The 17402-nt window shown below is 41.3% G+C and overlaps 1 protein-coding gene and 1 long non-coding RNA gene across 5 annotated transcripts in view; one reads left to right on the top strand and one right to left on the bottom strand.

Moving 5' to 3' along the window:
• The window catches only part of DSCAS (DSC1/DSC2 antisense RNA), a 61202-nt gene extending 45687 nt beyond the window's left edge, over positions 1 to 15515 (bottom strand). Inside the window, exons 1-2 of the long non-coding RNA NR_110785.1 lie at positions 15380 to 15515; positions 13909 to 13980 (exon numbers count right to left, since the gene is read on the bottom strand). This is a non-coding gene — a long non-coding RNA (DSC1/DSC2 antisense RNA). The remainder of the gene's footprint in view (positions 1 to 13908; positions 13981 to 15379) is intronic.
• DSC2 (desmocollin 2) overlaps positions 14682 to 17402 on the top strand; it is a 43582-nt gene continuing 40861 nt past the window's right edge. For 2 of the 4 annotated variants that reach the window (NM_024422.6, NM_004949.5), the window contains exon 1: positions 14682 to 15200. In NM_024422.6, the coding sequence (NP_077740.1) occupies positions 15132 to 15200 (69 nt within the window). In that variant the 5' untranslated portion in view covers positions 14682 to 15131. Of the gene's footprint in view, positions 15201 to 15842; positions 15883 to 17402 lie in introns of those variants that run through there. The other 2 variants (NM_001406506.1, NM_001406507.1) reach the window with 1 other exon arrangement.

The following is a 17402-nucleotide window of genomic DNA, read 5'->3' as shown; positions in this document are numbered from 1 at the left end:
TGTCACCCATTTTAAGCCTGCCTCACCCAACCCCACATGCCTTCCTCATTGAACAGATAAGTTATTTCTTACTTTAGAAAGGAAGATATGCATTATAAGTATGACTATCTCCTCCCCTATATTGAGTAATAAATTCACCATTCTGAGTGCAAATTCCTTTCCTTCCTTCTCTTTCTTTCTTTCTCTTTCTTTCTTTCTTTCTTTCTTTCTTTTCTTTCTTTCTTTCTTTTTCTTTCTTCCTTCCTTTCTTTCTTTCTTTCTTTTCTTCCTTTCTTTCTTCCTTTCTTTCTTCCTTCCTTTCTTCCTTCCTTTCTTTCTTCCTTTCTTTCTTTCTTTCTTCCTTCCTTCCTTTTTTTTAGATAGAGTCTTGCTCTGTTGCCCAGGCTGGAGTGCAATGGCACCATCTTGACTCACTGCAACCTCTGCCTCCTGGGTTCAGGTGATTCTCCTGTCTCTGTCTCCTAAGTAGCTGGGATTACAGGTGTACACCAAGATGCCTGGCTACTTTTTGTATTTTTAGTAGAGATGGGGTTCCACCAAGTCGGTTAGGCTGGTCTCTAACTCCTGACCTCAGATGATCTGCCCACCTCGGCCTCCCAAATTGCTGGGATTACCGGCGTGAGCCACTGCGCCCGGCCCTGAGTGCAAATTTATAAAAACAATAGAACTCTAGAAACCAAAGCTGGGTTTTTTTCCCCAACTCTGTAACTTATTTGGCAAGAAAAGTAGACCTGCACAGAAATTCATTGGTGGCAAAATCTGGAGTGAACTAAAAAATTATGTCTCAGGCTCAGATTTCCCTTCAATTCACTTACACAACTGCCTACTCGTCATGTCTTTAGACACCTTAAACTTAACATGTCCAAAACGATGCTCTTGATCTTTCCACCTAAATCTCCTCTTTCTCCATTTGAGGATAAGTATCTTCAGCTCATGACCCCACGGTGGCAACTTGCAGTGCTCAAGTTCCTCAAGTTTCTTAGCAGCCATTCTAAAAATTCCTCAAGTTTCTTAGCAGCCATTCTAAAAAATAATCCACTCCCAACGATACCATGAAAGATCATCCCTTGCTGATCTAGAACATCTGTCTCTTTCTGTCTGTGCAAATCCATGCCTTTTGTAAAATGACTTCCCATCATCTTTCTGGTTAAATAAAATAAAAGATCATATTTTAATCACCATCAGGATATCTATCTGTATCTGTACATCTATCTATCTATCTATCTATCTATCTATCTATCTATCTATCTATCTATCTATTTGTGTATGTATGTATCTACATATCTATCCATCCATCTCCATAGCTACACATATTTATTAGCTGGCTTTCCCAAAACTGATTAGTCAAATATTAACCATAGTTAAATAAATTAATTTCTACTATTACTTTCTCAGGAACAAGCTACATAGAACTGTAGCTTTTGCATAAAATACAGATTAATTGACATATCAATGTTTGCAATTAAGAATAACAGGATTTGTTATTTTTAGTTTGAGTCTCATGTTTATGACCACTATTTTATTAATTTTTTTCATATACTTCCTGCAACTGGAAATTATATGAATTCTCATGCTTAATTTCCCAGTAATCCTGAAAGATAATAACCTTTATATGGGATCCCTTCTCAGATGATCCAGTGTAAATTTCAGGTTTATAGCCAGTATTTTACATATTATTATCTCAAAGCAACATCATAATTTGTTAATAATTAGTCTGTGGATTACAAGTAGTTAGACAGCATAAACTATACGTGCACACATATAGTTATTCAACAAATATTTACCAAAAGCCCACACTGTAACAGACAGCTGTAAAAACTAAAAATGGAGATGAATATAAGACCTTGTGAAAATTACATTCTAACACAGAGACCAAGGAAGAAAAAAAGTAATAAAATATGAGAGCAGGATGGTAGGATGGGAGTGGTTTATGCTAGACCAATATTCTCACCAAGGCCAATAAGAAGCTCTGGATAAAATACAAAATCTATCTGTTTAGAGCTCGCAGAGAGTTTCAGAATAAAGAAGAAATAGATTAAAATCTAAAGAGGAGAACACCAGCTCTAGCCGCATTTTTCTCAGGGAGCATTTGAAGCTACTGGACACAGGCTGGAGGCTGAGAATCCAGGCTCAGCCAAAGCAGAAGGCCACTGCTTGGGAAGAAAGAAAGTAGCAGAGTTTTTAGCAATTGTGTGGGGCTGGAGTGACAAAATCAGAGACTGGAGGGATTTCATGAACTTCTGGTTTTGCCTTCAAAGCATGTGCTGTATTCTAAAGTTTTATGAAGTAGGAAGCTGACAAACTAAACCAAACCACTGTGATAAGCAGAAAGGAGTTTCCAGTCTGTGAAGGAAATAAAGACCTGCTAGGGGAAGGGGCCACAGTAAAGTCACCAGGCTCTTGGTTAAAAGCTCTGGAAAGCAATCAGAGGTTTGAAATTTCAATTAGAGTGTTCAGAGAAGATCTCACTGAGGAGACATAAGGGTCAAAACCTGAAGGAGGTGAGGGAACAAGCAGTGTGGCTATCTGAAGATCATCCCACGTGGAAATAGAAGGCCCAAGCAGGAGCGTGACAGTGTCTTCACCAACCAGCAAAGAGCTCAAGGTGACTGGAGCATGGTGGATGATGGGAGAGTAGGAGAGATCCATGATGGATTGTCTGGTCCTGTAGACCACTGGAAATACTCTGGATTTCATCTAAAAGAGATGAGAAGCCTCTAGGCGAATGTTTAAAAATATTTTTATTTTGGAGGAATTCCCGAAGAGCTTGAGTAGAGAGATGGCTCCATCCAACTTATTTATTTATTAACAGGGACAATCTGGCTGCCAGTTTGAAAATAGACCCAAGTGGAGAGTATTGGCAGCAGAAAGACCGATGAGGAGATTTTTGGAATAATCCAGGTGAGAGACAACAGTGGTTTGGACCAGGATAATACTGATGGAAATGGTGAGAATTGGGTGGATTCCAGATATATCTTAAAGGTACATTTGCTAAGAGTTACAGACAGACTGGATTTAGAATATGAGGGGACAAAGAAATCTGAAGAGATGTTGTCCTAAACAACATGAAGAATGGAGTTGCCATTAATTGAAAGGGAAAAGATTCTGAGATGGAGAAGATCAGGAGCTCAGAATTGGAAACATAATTTTGCAATTCCTATGAGGCACGTAAGTTAAAAATTTTTATAGGGGGTAGGAATTTCAAGGGAGAAATCTGAGAGAGCATTTTAGAATTTCTGACCATCAGCTTAGAGACAGTTTTTAAAGTCAGAAGACTGAATGAGATCCACAAAAAGTGAATGTAGATAAAACCATAATAAATGTCCAACTACGGAGTCCTGGGGAACTGCAATATTAAGAGATTATGGAGAGAAAAAAGAATAAATAAGGTAGAGAAGGAAAAACAGAAGCCAAGTGAAGAGTGAGTTTTAATGACAGGTGTACCAACTTTCCACAGTTAGTTAACATAAAGCTGAAAAATGACCATTAGATTTAACAATATGAAACTGTCTATCACCTTTGTAAGAACACTTTTGGTAAAGAGGTAGGGGTGAAAACCTGATTAGAAGTGGTTCAGAAGATAATGAGAGGAAAAAAACTGAAGACAGTACATATAAAACACCTTTCCCCAGAATTTTTTTTCTGTAAAAGAGGGTAGAGGAATGGGGTGTGTTAACTAGAGGAAGAAATGGGATATAGAGAGGCAGGTATTTATGTTGGCTTGGTTCACATGCTGTTGGATAGATAGAGATGGATTCAACTGATGATTTAGGAGAGCAGGAGCAGAATTGCCAAGCAATGTTCTTAAGCAGGTGGGAGCAGGTGAGACTTAATGCACAAATGAAGCAGTTGACCTTAGCTATGAACAGGGTCAGTTCTTCCACAATACACAGGAAAAAGCCACGTAGCACAGATGCAGGCAAGTGGGTAGATGTGGAGAAGCTTACAGAAGTTATCCTTGATCATTTCCATTTTCTCTGTGAAATAGGAAGCAAAGTCAGTAATGGAAAGTGAGGACAGAAGAGGATAAATAGGCAGTTTGAGTAGAGAGAAGGTAGTATGAAAATACTGCCAAGGATAAAGGGGAAGTGAATGGGCTAGACAAATAGAGTAAGATTCCAGGGCAGGATGAAGGCCTATGTGAGGTACTAATGATGAGCTTAAGGTGAAATTCCTCAGCCTGAATATGAGTTTATCTCTAGCCACATTCAACTGTGCGTAGCAGCTAGCTAAGTGGAGAGTTAGACTGATCAGGGAGTGACCCTGAAAAGGGAGAATAATGAAGCTATAAAGGACAGTAATAGAGAAGAGGTATATGCAAAGAGTGATTACTAGACAGACTATAATGGTTATCAGGAAAGTTAAGCTGGATGAGGAGCAAAATGGGGCCGTAAAGGGGGTGAGAGAAAGTAAAACTGGTAGAATCTACGAATTTAGTTACTAGAGCAGTCTAAGATTCGTTGAAACTGAGAGAATAGAGGGAGGGAGCTGTGAAAGTAAAAGATGGTGGTCATGGGGCGGAATGCTTGAAATTGAGATTTGCGGAGTAGTCACGGTGCTTAGCAATAGTAAGAGCTAGAGTAGGATCATCCAGTGGATAGCGAAGGCAGTGGTGGAGGATGACATTGAATGGGAGGAACTTAAGGAACTGAGGAACTAGAGTGTGTGAGCTTTCTATTGTTACCGTAACAAATTATGATACACTCAGTGGCTTAAAACAACACAAATGTACTATCATGTAGTTTTGTTGGTCAGAAGTCTGTCCAGGGTCTCACTGGGCTAAAAGCAAAGTGTTAGCAGGACTCTGTTCCTTTCTGAAGGCTCTACGGGAGAACCTTCTTTTTCTTTCCTTTACCAGCTTCTAGATGCTGCTTATATTCTGTGGCTCATGGCTCCTCTCTCCATCTTCAAGCCAGCACAGCAGGTCCCTCCCTCCCTCCCTCCCTCCCTCCCTCCCTCCCTTCCTCCCTTCCTCCCTTCCTCCCTTCCTTCCTTCCTTCCTTCCTCTCTCTGTCTCTTTCTTTCTTTCTTTCTTTGGAGATGGAGTCTCGCTCTGCCGCCCAGGCTGGAGTGCAGTGGCGTGATCCCGGCTCACTGCAAGCTCCGCCTCCCGGGTTCACGCCATTCTCCTGCCTCAGCCTCCTGAGTAGCTGGACTACAGGCGTCTGCCACCACGCCCGGCTAATTTTTTGTATTTTTAGTAGAGATGGGGTTTCACCGTGTTAGCCAGGAGGGTCTCGATCTCCTGACCTCGTGATCCGCCCACCTCAGCCTCCCAAAGTGCTGGGATTACAGGCGTGAGCCACCGCGCCCGGCCCACATCTTTCTTAAGTCCTATCACAGACACTGCTTCCATCATCACATCTCTGGCTGTCACCCGTCTGCCTCCCTCCTCTACATTGAAGGACTATTTTGATTATATTGAGCCATCCAGATGAAACAGAATAATCTCCCTTTTTTAAGGTCAGCAGATAAGCAACCTTAATTCCATCTGCTACTTCTGTCATATAATGCTACATATTCACAGAGTCTGAGGATTAGGAAATGGGCATTTTTTGAGGCCATTATTCTGCCTACTGCGGTGTACATATTGAAATCCTCAGGAGTTATGAGAGGAGTGGAGTTTTAAACAGTATGACAGGGAGCCAGGGGCATTACCCTAGAATAAAAAAAATGTGCTCTGGAGAAATCTGTAGATGACAAGAAGGAGGGGTAGAGTGGGAGCAATAACCTGCTGTCTTGAGATTCAGTGCTAGGAGTGGTGCTATTCAGGTTTGCAAGAGGGAGAATTAGTTGAAAATGGAGAGAAAAAGCAAAGAGAATACCTACTCAACTTCCAGCCCCAGCAGTCTTAGAGGTATTGTATGAAAAAGGCCTCCAAGTGAAAGGGCTCATGTCCATTAGAGAAAGAACTGTGAGAAGAGGTTGAAGATATAACAGATGCTGCTGACTTCAAGAGTCAATAGGGTTTAGAGATTTGGGGTGGGGTCAGCAAAGGGTATGTCTGGAGCCTTAAGGGGATTAGATTCCAGGGGAAGAGGGATGCCTGGGGAACCAGAACTTCTTCTGGGGGCTGAGATAAATAGGATAAATACCCTAGAAGATTAGTCCTATAACCTTTAAATGTATAATAGTGAGACACAATGAGGGCTGGGCTGGGTGAGGGAAGAAAGGTCTTGTCAAGGGTTCAGAAATTTCTGAGGTTCTCTTTTGACTCCTGTTGGAGATATGGAACAGGCCAAGTGGCTGCTTTTCTCAATCTATGGGGTTCCCACCTGAACCCTGATGATGAAGGACAGTAGAGATACATTAAACTTGGTAAGATGACTGCCTGATACACATTAGAAATAATTATAGGTTCTGTACATACTAATATAGATTAGCTAATTATTATTGAATGCTTACTATGTTCTAGGCACTGTCATAAATACATAAATATATGTAAGTAAATATAAATGCTACATAATATATATATATCTGATCTCACTAAAATTTTTTGAAGTATCTCATTGTTATTTCAATTTTAGAGAAGAAGAAATAGTTCCTTCATATAAACCATTGAGGACAATATTGATCAGATATTCTTTTGAGACAGCAAAAGTCTCATTTCCTCTGACCCAATCTTAATAGCCTTTATCACCCTACAAGTCTTTAACGACTGCTAACTCCATAATAGGAAGTAGACTCAGCAATTGCACATTGTGATCTAGGAAGTGTGATCTCCACACAAATTACTATAGAAGGGACCAAAAGGGTGTTAGAGCCACACATGCTCTAGATATTGCCTTTACTTGCAAAGGCCAATCAGGCAATAAGGGAAGGAAAATGTTGTCCACTCCCTTTAGGAAAGTGTAGTTAGATGAATGCCTGAAAGCTCCTAGAAAGAAGGCTAGGGGCTACTCATATCAATTTTTTTTTTCCAGTTTAAATCTTGGAGGCAGACGTTATGTATTCAAATGACAGTGAGGAAGACCAAGAAAATGACTAAGAAAAGCAGTAACTATAGCTTATATAAACTATATAAAACCAAGCAGTCATATGATCAATGTTGAATACAGAACTATATTTTAAAAAAATCATATACAAAGCTCTCCCAAAAAAGTCCTACACAAAAATATACTTGATATAATTTCAAATCTTTATTCACAACTTGAGAAACTTCAAAAGGAAGAGTAAATGTTAAATGTACAGTTAAACAGTTAACAATTTACCTCCCGTTTCTCCCCATTTTTGATTCTAAATGTCTTCTAGGCATAAAAGCAGCTGCTCCTCAAAACTCTCTCTCTTCCGTCTCTCATATGCCCCATCAAACTGTCCTAAAGCCCAACTGCTGTGGACAGTTACACTTTCCTTTCGAATGTCACAGCTATGTATACTACATTTTATTCACAAAATTTCAAAGAAAAATTTTCCTTCAGCATTTGAAAATTATTTCTAAAGTTGACTAATTAAGATAATTTAAACAATATACACTGCAATAAGACTGCTGGTTATTTTGAGTATTTCAATATCTTAAACATGAGAGAGAGACATAAATAAAATTATTTCAAAACGCATTATCATGCTTTTCTAGAATATCAACAGGGGTTAATTTATTTCTTCACCAGTTCTGCATTTCTTTAAACTTTTCTGGGATTAGAGATATATTTATTTTATAATCTTCTTAGAATTTCATATTATTTTGAATACTTTGGGACTGACAATACTCTTAGGAGGTCCAAAAGAAGAGAAACAGCATCTCTGACTTTCAGAGGTTACAGAATGTGGGTCAATTGATTTTTGATTGGAGCACAAGATTTAGTTGCTTTCCTCAAGGTGATAAACACTTCAGGCACTGATCAGCAGAATTAGTTTCCTTCTATAATTAAAATACATTTGCTTAGTAGATAAAATGTTTTATGTTCACTCTTGTTACATAGTACTTATTATTTGCAACCAGATGTCTTCCCCAAAATATTGTTCTTTGCCTACCTTACGTAGATGTGTGACAAAACCCATTAACTTATCATTATAAATCTATTGATTTGGTTGGTAACATAACTTAAAGCTTGCTTTCTCACTAGTTTCTATTACAATTATAGGCTACCTAAAATATTCATCTCCTGTTAATAGATGACGAGGGATTGAATCTGTGTAGTTAACACTCCTCCAGAGAATATTTGGTTCATTTATCATCTTGGAATACACTCCAAATCCTCCTTTTATTTGGTGATTGTGTGTGACAAACTGAATAACAGCAATACATGTTTACTACTGGTTATTATCTGGTTATATGTGATCACCAGGTTTTACAGTCCTTCCTGTTTTTGGAACAATGTTAATTTCTCTACCCGTTTGGTTTAATAATAATTCCTTGCATTACTGCTTCCTGATTATAAGGTAGAAAAAAGTATTATATATACCAATGCTATATAAACAGACATATAACTAATAGGAAAAAATAATATACTATTTAATTTTTTCCTCTTCCACTTACTAAAATAAATGAGATTTAAACATATTGTGATATATTAATTATTTTCTCCTTATTAACCCCTTCACAAGCTTTGCTTCTCAAACTCATTCCTTTCTACCTCCACAAAAATTAGTTGAATGTGTTTAGAATGTGTGTTTTTGTTTATATAATTTTTATTAAAATGCTGCTGTTCAGTGTAATGATTTTTTGTCTTTTTAAATTTATATTGGATGTAGAAATATTCTATTTTTAGTTATTTCACTGGGTTCTATGTTTTTAAGATCCATTCATATTGCCATTAGCCTATTGGTTCTAACTTTGCACAGTGATCCATGGGGTGGATCTGTCACCATAATTTATCTACTCTCCAAGGATGGTAACCCAGATTGCTCCCAACTCCCTCTACAACAAACCATCCCTTCATAGACTTCAGTGAGAATTTCTCTGGGTTATTAGCCAAGAGATAAACTGCTGGGCTTTAGGGTATTCACTTATTACCTTGAACAATCATTGTTAGGCTACTGTCCTGAATATTTGATCAAATTTATAATTCTACCAACAATGCACCAGGGTTCCCAAACATCCACAGGCCTATCAACATTTGCTATTAGCTTCCTAATTTTTGCCAAATAGGTATAGAAGGATATTTTATGACTTTGATGTGCCTTTCTCTGATTTCTTAAAATATACTTGGTAGGCTTCAGATTCCTCTGTTGTAAGAGTATGCCTAGTAATACTCTTTGTCCATCTTTTTCTGTTGTGGTTCTGCCACATTCTGGTTGACATGTAGGAGTTCCTTGTATTTTCTAGATATTATTCTCTCATCTGTTTTAGTCATGACAAATGTCTTCTCCCAAGCTATTTTCTGTTTATCAACTTTATTTATGGTGTCACCTGTCAAATAGAAAGCCTGCATTTTAATGTAATCAAGTGTATCTGTTTTTTTTTATTCCTATATGGTATATGCTTTTTAGGTTTTATTTCAAAAATCTTTTCCTACCTCTGTATAACACTGATGTTCTCCTGTATTATTTTTCATTAACTTTATGTGTCTTCCACCACAGTATACGTATAAATACAAAATTGGTTGTGTAGGGGACCAATTTTATTTTTCTCCAATAGTGAGTCTGTTTTCCCAATGCCACCACTAAATAATTCCTTATTTTCTTCATTGTGTCTGCTGCCACTTTTATCAGATATTAAGTATCCATTTATACACTGGTCTCTTTGGAGTTCTAAGTTAAAATTCATAAGTATATTTGTCTGTTCTTGTGCAAAAGCCATACTAGAAATGTTTGGTAGGCCCATCTCATATTTTATTAATATGCTACTGTAATACACGTCCAGCATATTTGAGATTAGACTAGGAACTCCCACCCTATCAAATGTGGCCCAAGACATCACTTTAATATGCTGATAAACACTAGAATAGAAAAAGGAAAACAAAGAATTGCTTGTCAGAAATGCTCATTAGTCATTTATTTATTCATTTGCTCACTCATTCAGCAAATGTTTATTAAGTGTCTACTAAGAATCAGGAGTCATAGTAATGCTGGGAATACAAGCATGAACAAAAAAAGGGTTACTACAATCATGGAAATGTAGTCTTTGTTGAGAAACAAGTATTAATCAAATAATTATTTGAACAAATTTAACATTGCAATTGTGACAAGTGCTCTAAATGAGAGGCAGCAGTTTAATGTGGAAGATTTGACCAGGTGGGGAAGAAAATAAAAGTTGAGATTTGTAGGGTGAATGGGAGTTAACCAGGCCAGAGAGATAGAAAAAGATTCTGGGAAAGAGGAAAGGGCATGTACAAAGTACTTACAGCAGAAGGAGCCTTGCGAGTGCAAGGGTTTGAAACAATGCAGATGTATTTGTATATAGCAATATTTAGAGGCAGGCTGGGTGCGGTGGCTCACGCCTGCAATCCCAGCAGTTTGGGAGCCGAGAGAGACAGATCACCTGAGGTCAGAAGTTTGAGATCAGCCTGGCCAACATGGTGAAACCCCGTCTCTACTAGAAATACAAAAAAAAATTAGCTGGGCATGGTGGCGGGCACCTGTAGTCCTAGTTACTCAGGAGGTTGGGGCAGAAAAGTGATTACTTGAACCCAGGAAGCAGAGGTTGCAGTGAGCCGAGATCATGCCACTGCACTCCAGCCTGGGCGACAGAGCAAAACTCCATCTCACAAAAAAAAAAAAAGAAAAAAATATTTACAGGCACAATAATATTTAGAGGTCAGAGAAGAAGGAACCAGCCAAGGAGAATACATAAATACAGCCAGCAAGGGAAGAAAAAAACCAAGAGTTATTGCAATCCAGCAAGCCAAGAGGATACATGTTCTAGATTAGGTTATCTAGAGAAACATTTCATAATCCATGAAAAGATATTAACAAGTTTTATCTTGGTAATTTTTTTATCCTTATAAAACACTCTATATTTTATTTTGCAATTAATTCGAGATTAATCTTCACTTTTTTTTTCCCAAAGAAGTCAACATGATATAAATCTCAAGTGGAGAGTATTTCTTATCCAACCTAGCTATCTTATAATTCTGTAGGTGTTTCCCTTGAGTAAGTGTCCTTTCTGTCTTGTTCACCACTGCATTTCCCATGCCCAGAACAATGCCTTAGACATAGTAGATGCTCAGTAAATACTTGCTGAGTTAGTTAATTGGTAAAGCATACAAATGAAAGTTTTGTAGTTTTAAGGATACATTATTTCATTGCACCACTGGGCGGGAGGGGGAGCTCATGTCAACTGCGTCTATTAAAGGCAGACCAGACATTGTGAACTGTCTCCAGTCACGTTCAACACAATTGCCTCAGAATTAATTCATTTGCTTGTTTTAATTGAGTGACTGCTAAATGAAAACTATTGTCATAAGAACTGATTTATAATTTATTTCATACTCTACCTTGAATTTTTAAAAAATACTTTGAGGCCAGGCGCAGTGGCTCACGCCTGTAATCCCAGCACTCTGGGAGGCCGAGGCGGGCGGATCACGAGGTCAGGAGATCGAGACCATCCTGGCTAACACGGTGAAACCCTGTTTCTACTAAAAATACAAAAAATTAGCCGCGCATAGTGGCGGGTGCCTGTAGTCCCAGCTACTCGGGAAGCTGAGGCAGGAGAATGGCGTGAACCCAGGAGGCGGAGCTTGTAGTGAGATGGAGATCGCCCACTGCACACCAGCCTGGGTGACAGAGCGAGACTCCGTCTCAAAAAAAAAAAAAAAAAACAAACTTTGAAATGTAATAGAAATTGAACTTGATTAGCATACTATGTTTCACTGAGATCAATTTTTAAAAGTGAAATTCAAAGAAATATACATAGAATTAAAAAGTAAAGATAGCATTTGTCGGAAAACACAGAATTTTAAAACTTTTTCTTAAATTGAGAAGGATTCTTTTTAAACAATTGTTTCAAATTTTCAGAAAGTACACAGCTGACTCAAACTGCACAGCTCATTTTAGTATTGCATTGTTAACTCATTTATGCCAGACAAGATCTGGGGTTAGTGTTGAAGAGAGGGGGTTGAAGGTGAATGAATTAGCACTAGGGTTCAGCCCTAGACCAGGACAGAGAACTCTCTGAGGAGAGGTACTGGAAGGACAGGAAATAGGGAGCTGTCATGAGGAGGAAGTGAATGGATCAGAGAGATGTGGTCGTACAATGGCGAGGAAGATGGATGTCCACAATAACTGACACTGAGGGAGCACTTAGAATGTGCCAGGCTTTCTTCTGAGTGCCTTGATATCATTTAATTCTTGCAACAGCTCTGAGAGGTTAAAAAATTGTGCTTATTTTACGGTGATTAGCAGATGTTTCCCTTTCTGCTCCAACCTATGAAGCAACTAGACAATGTCCTTTAATCTTGCTTTTTGCCTGTTAGGTTTGTGTTTCCCTTGCTTTTGAATTCCATTCTATGTCATATGCCATGCCGAGATGGTTTCGTCCTGAAGATGACATCTGTCCCTGTGGATCACTCATCCTCTGGTGCTGGCAGGGGAGGAACTGGCAGGATTCACAAAGCTCATGCAGAGCTGTCTCTATTTGCTCATCAGTGAGTAAGTGGGATTTTTTTGGTTGTTGCTGCCCTTAATAGTTTCTGGCCTCTGATATTAGAAAATTGTGAAGCTAGGCTGGATAGATTTGGCCTGTGGGCTTTGGATTGCAAATTGTTCACTTCTTTAAGGATTGCTCTGGCCCTGACTTTCTATGTTATCTCTGAAATGAACATCCATTTCCAGCCAAGCTTCTCAAAAATCTGTCATAAGCAGTCTAAATAGTTTAATTTTAGATGTAGAAAGTACCATAGATAGCCTCCAGTATTACCTTATTATTATTGATTATCTTACTTAACAGATGGACAAATGGGAGTGTTGAGACCTGAGAGATTACTTAAGCAACACAAAAGAAGTTGCTTCTTACTTTCGGTCTGGTGTACTTTTTACTATAAAAAGTATATTTTTATTGGGAAACTAGTTCATGCAGCAGAATCATATTCATAAGCAAAAGTCATTCTTTTAAAAAAAGATCACATCTACTCACATTCCATTTTTTTTTTAAATATATGCCCTTTGTTTCAAACCTATGTTTTAGAGGGATCTATTTCAGTGACCATATAGCCTAACCTAAATACATTAAATAAATTGGGTACTTGCTCAGAGAAAGTACTTTATATTCCATTCTTTTGTTGAAAGTTTTTTTTGGAATAAAACAAACAAATCACCATTTTAATAGCCTCTATCAATTAATGTGAAAGAGGAAAATAAATATCTAAGATGAATTCTAGTCAAATTGCTCTTCCGCCCTTTCCTGGAATGAGGAAAAACATGAGCTGCCCTTAAGGCATCAGAGGGTAAAGAGTAGGCAAGAGTTTGGAAATGTCCTATAGTCAAAGCCTGTGATGATAGTCTGAGTAGATCTCCAGAACCTGAAACGCTTATAGCTTTCTTTTTGTCCTCTGAAAAGCTTCATGCTAGAGACCATGATGTCATCTTTAATAGGATGAGGTGTGCTTATGGTATCATTGATGGAAAACTATGAGTGTTAAAAAATATGGAAACGGAAGGATGTCAATTATAGTCTCATGCTGATGACTCAGGCTTATTTTACTAGCAAAGGGTCAATGATAATTTTATGGATATGGAGACAGAACAGCTCATTAGTGGCATTCGTTAATAAAATAGGGCATGAGCATAGCACAGACACAGAGAATGTAAGGCATGCGCTGTTTGACATTAATTTTTAATTTAAATATACACTCAGTATTGCAGTAATTCTGGCTCGGCATACAATGGTGTTAAGATGGTGAACATTTTCAAGAATCGAAATGGTGTGAGTGTCAGGGTTGGCTTTTCACATAGGATTCTCAGGACATCCCTGAGGAAACTTAAACCAAATAAAAGGGAGCAGACAAGTTTCTCTTTTGTGGTCAGGCTTACCTGGTTTAAGTCAGTAATTGAAAAGAGGTGCAGGAGGATGAGTCAGATGCCTTGTCATTGCTTTCTGAAGAGCTAAAAGAAACAGCATTTATATCTTAATCTTCCAGATTGTGTGCTGCAATAATTCATTTAGTTTAAGTGCACTTCAAATAAAAATGTAAATTATCCCATTCTTATTCATTTCTCACCATGAACTCTGGTTTTGATGGTAGTAAAGAAGGTGAGAACTCTCCACTGGATGTTCAGGAGTCCGGTATAGGAAATAAGTTATAACTCTATTTGTGACCAGGGATGTTCTTGGAGAAAATCAGTAACCACATGTAGCCCACGACTAGGACCTCAATGGATGCATTTCTTATAGTAACTCACCCTCGATTTTATTATTTTGCAGTCGCCTTGATTCCCTAACTTTACGTACGTATGTATGTATATATGTATTTTTGTCTCTAAATTATGGCGATTGTCTTGTATCATTGTCATGCCAGTAAATTCCTAAAAACACAAGACCCCAAAGAATGGTGCCTCAGATGACTATGATGTCTGAACTGCTTGTGGGTGTGTGTAGGAAATTCACTCCAGTAGAGTGTGTAACAGTCTCCCTGGAGTCAACTTTCTGTCAGGTGGGCCTCAGGCAGCTGTGACCTAAAACCCAGCCTCTGCGGCTCAGACCTCGCTCTGTAATTGACCCCAGGGCAGGGACCACGGCCGTCGCCGAGGGCAGCGGGCAGGGCGGAGCCGGGGCCGACCGCGCACTCAGGAGTGAGTCTTTGTGCAGTCAGGGCTTCTGCTGGGCAGGGCCGGCTGTTAATCTCGCCTGGCGGAGCGGACACCGGGGCGTGGTGGGGGAGATGGGCCTTATAGGTGGCGTCCGCTGGTGAGAAACACCTTGCGCAGGTAAAAGGGTGGCGGCGAGAGGGAGTTCCCACCCGTGGCTTTCTTAGAGAAATGAAGTCTTAAGTCTTAAATAGACAACAAGGAGGGGCCGATCGGTGTCTTTTGGACGCGTCTGGAGCCCCTCCCTCCGCCAAAGGAAAAGCCCCTTGGATGAGAGGCAGGCGCTTCAGAGAAGCTAAGAAAAGCACCTCTCCGCGCGCCCCACCTCCTCCGCCTCGCGCTCCTCCTGAGCAGCGGGCCCAGACTGCGCTCCGGCCGCGGCCCTCGCCCCGCGGAGCCCTCCTACCCCGGCCCGACGCTCGGCCCGCGACCTGCCCCGAGCCCTCTCCATGGAGGCAGCCCGCCCCTCCGGCTCCTGGAACGGAGCCCTCTGCCGGCTGCTCCTGCTGACCCTCGCGGTGAGTGTAGCCGCGGCCACCGCTCCGGGGAAGGGGGCGATCGCCTAGGGTGCAGAGGAAAACTAGGGGAACGGGGATAGGTGGGGGTGGCGGGAAAAGCTGGGGTGAAGGGGCCTCTGGGTGGCTAGAAAATGGAGTTGGCGGGGGTGGGGGAGGGCAGATAGGAAGAGGATCGCGACCTGAGAGTTGGGATCCCCAAGGGAAGGGAAGGTGTCTCCGGTAGATGTAATCAGCGCACTCAAGGAGAGGCGGGAGCGGGCCGCTTTCGCCCAGCCAAAATCGTGGCCCCTGGGTACGCGCCGGGGAGCAGGGTGCGCCGGGGCGGGAGTGCGCCGGGGTCGGAGTGCGCCGGGGCGGGAGTGCGCCGGGGCGGGAGTGCGCCGGGGCCGTCCAGCTGGCCTCTGGCACCTTCCCCGGGAACGTGCGGCTCCCTGTGCCTCGGGAACGTGCGGCTCCCTGTGCCTCGGGAACGTGCGGCTCCCTGTGCCTCAGCGCCTGCCCAGGCCACGGAAAGGGGAACCGCTGGGCGGCCGGGACGGAGAGCGAGTGTCCTTGGGTGAAAAAGGGAACTGCTCGCCTTTCTGGGAATTGTTTACTCTGAGAGAAGGGCGGGGGGAAGTGGCGGGTGGGGGAGGGGATCTTGACCCTTTGCTCCTGAGGACTGTCGACCGGCGAGCCCTAGGTGAGCATTTGTACAGTTTCAGTGGTTTCTTAACGTGCGAGGCTTCAGTTCCCTAAATCTTCGGAGGAAGGAAGGGTCTTTCTGATTTCTTGTCCCCAGAGGCGACTCGATTTTTCTGCTCACCACCCGCCCCCCGCGCCACCGCCCCTTGCCCCAGGTTCTTTCTTTCTTTAAAGAGCACTACAGCAATGACCCTACCCCTTCCCAGAGCTGGGAGCCTAAGTGGTTGGCCTTATTTGGGGCGGGACAGCCCCTTTCCCAGGCTTGACCGATGGGATCTCGTTGGGGAGCCTGAAGACGCAAAAAGCCAATGCCGGGAGCAGCGTCTGGGGAATTGGGGATATAAAAAGTCCGATTGGACTTTTCCTGGCTCCCTGGAAGAGGAAAAAAATCGACAGGTGTGGAAAAGTGCTCCTTGTCTTAAGCAGAAGGCGTTGGGCGCCAATCAATCTTGAAGGACAAAGGGAGGAACCCGGAAGGCTAATTCCTTCTGGGAGAAGTGAACTGGGGGCTGAAATATTCGTATAATTTCCCCTTCTCTTCCGCTCTCACTTCGCAGTAGAGTTCCACATTTTACAATCATGAATTGGTAATTGTTACTGTTATTAGAATGTCTTTCTCGAGGAGCTCAATGGACTTCAAACCCTTAACTGAATTCTCAGGGCATATTAATAACATAGAAAGGGCCAAGTACACAGCAGTTAACATTTTACAGATGAGGAAACCAAGAATGGAATAAATAACGGTCAGAACATATGTTGATGAGTAAGAAATAAATTTTCATTAGACTCCTAATAAAATTGCAATTTCTTTTAAAACCACCGGCCATTCTTTAAAGGAAAAGGCATGCACAGACGCTGGCAATGCGTGGCATTGCTCTGCATATACCTGCAGAGAGAGCTTTCTGTGTGTTATCTCAGATTCTGTTTAGGAGGAGGTGGGGTATCACTGAATACACTGAAATTGAATTTCCATTCCTTGTTCTTCCTTAGCTTCGGAGTTTGATAGGCGGGGAGTGGGGTAGGAAGTATGCTGGCCCTGCCTACACTCTCATTCTGCTGGTTTTTGCTCTGTGCACATCTGTGCAAAGCCCTGCCAACCTCACGTGGCTGTTGTGGTTGTGAGTCTCAAGTGTGAGAAATGCGTAAATACTAAGTGTAAGAAATTATTAAGTAAGAATGATTGTAGCTGGGCATGGGGTGCGCGCCTGTGGTCCAAGTCACTGGAGAGAGGCTAAGGTGGGAGGATTGCTTGAGCTTGGGAGGTCCAGGCTGCAGTGAGCCCTGGTCATGCCACTGCATCCCAGCCTTGGTGACAGAGCGAAATCCTGTCTCAAAAAGGGGGGAGAAATATCTTTGGTAGGAGGGTAGGATCCTTTACCTTCCTTCCTTCCCATATACCCAAGTAATCCTTCACCATTCCACAAATCAGCTTTTCCTCACTTCTTAATGTTTCTTCAGACCACACCTGGCTTAGCCACTTGAACTCTGTCTTCTGCTAACCACTAATAAACCTTCTAA

This window comes from Homo sapiens, chromosome 18, assembly GCF_000001405.40.
Source record: "Homo sapiens chromosome 18, GRCh38.p14 Primary Assembly".
Taxonomy (NCBI): domain Eukaryota; kingdom Metazoa; phylum Chordata; class Mammalia; order Primates; family Hominidae; genus Homo; species Homo sapiens.
Note: the sequence above shows the minus strand (reverse complement) of the source record. Positions and strands in the feature narration are given on the sequence as shown.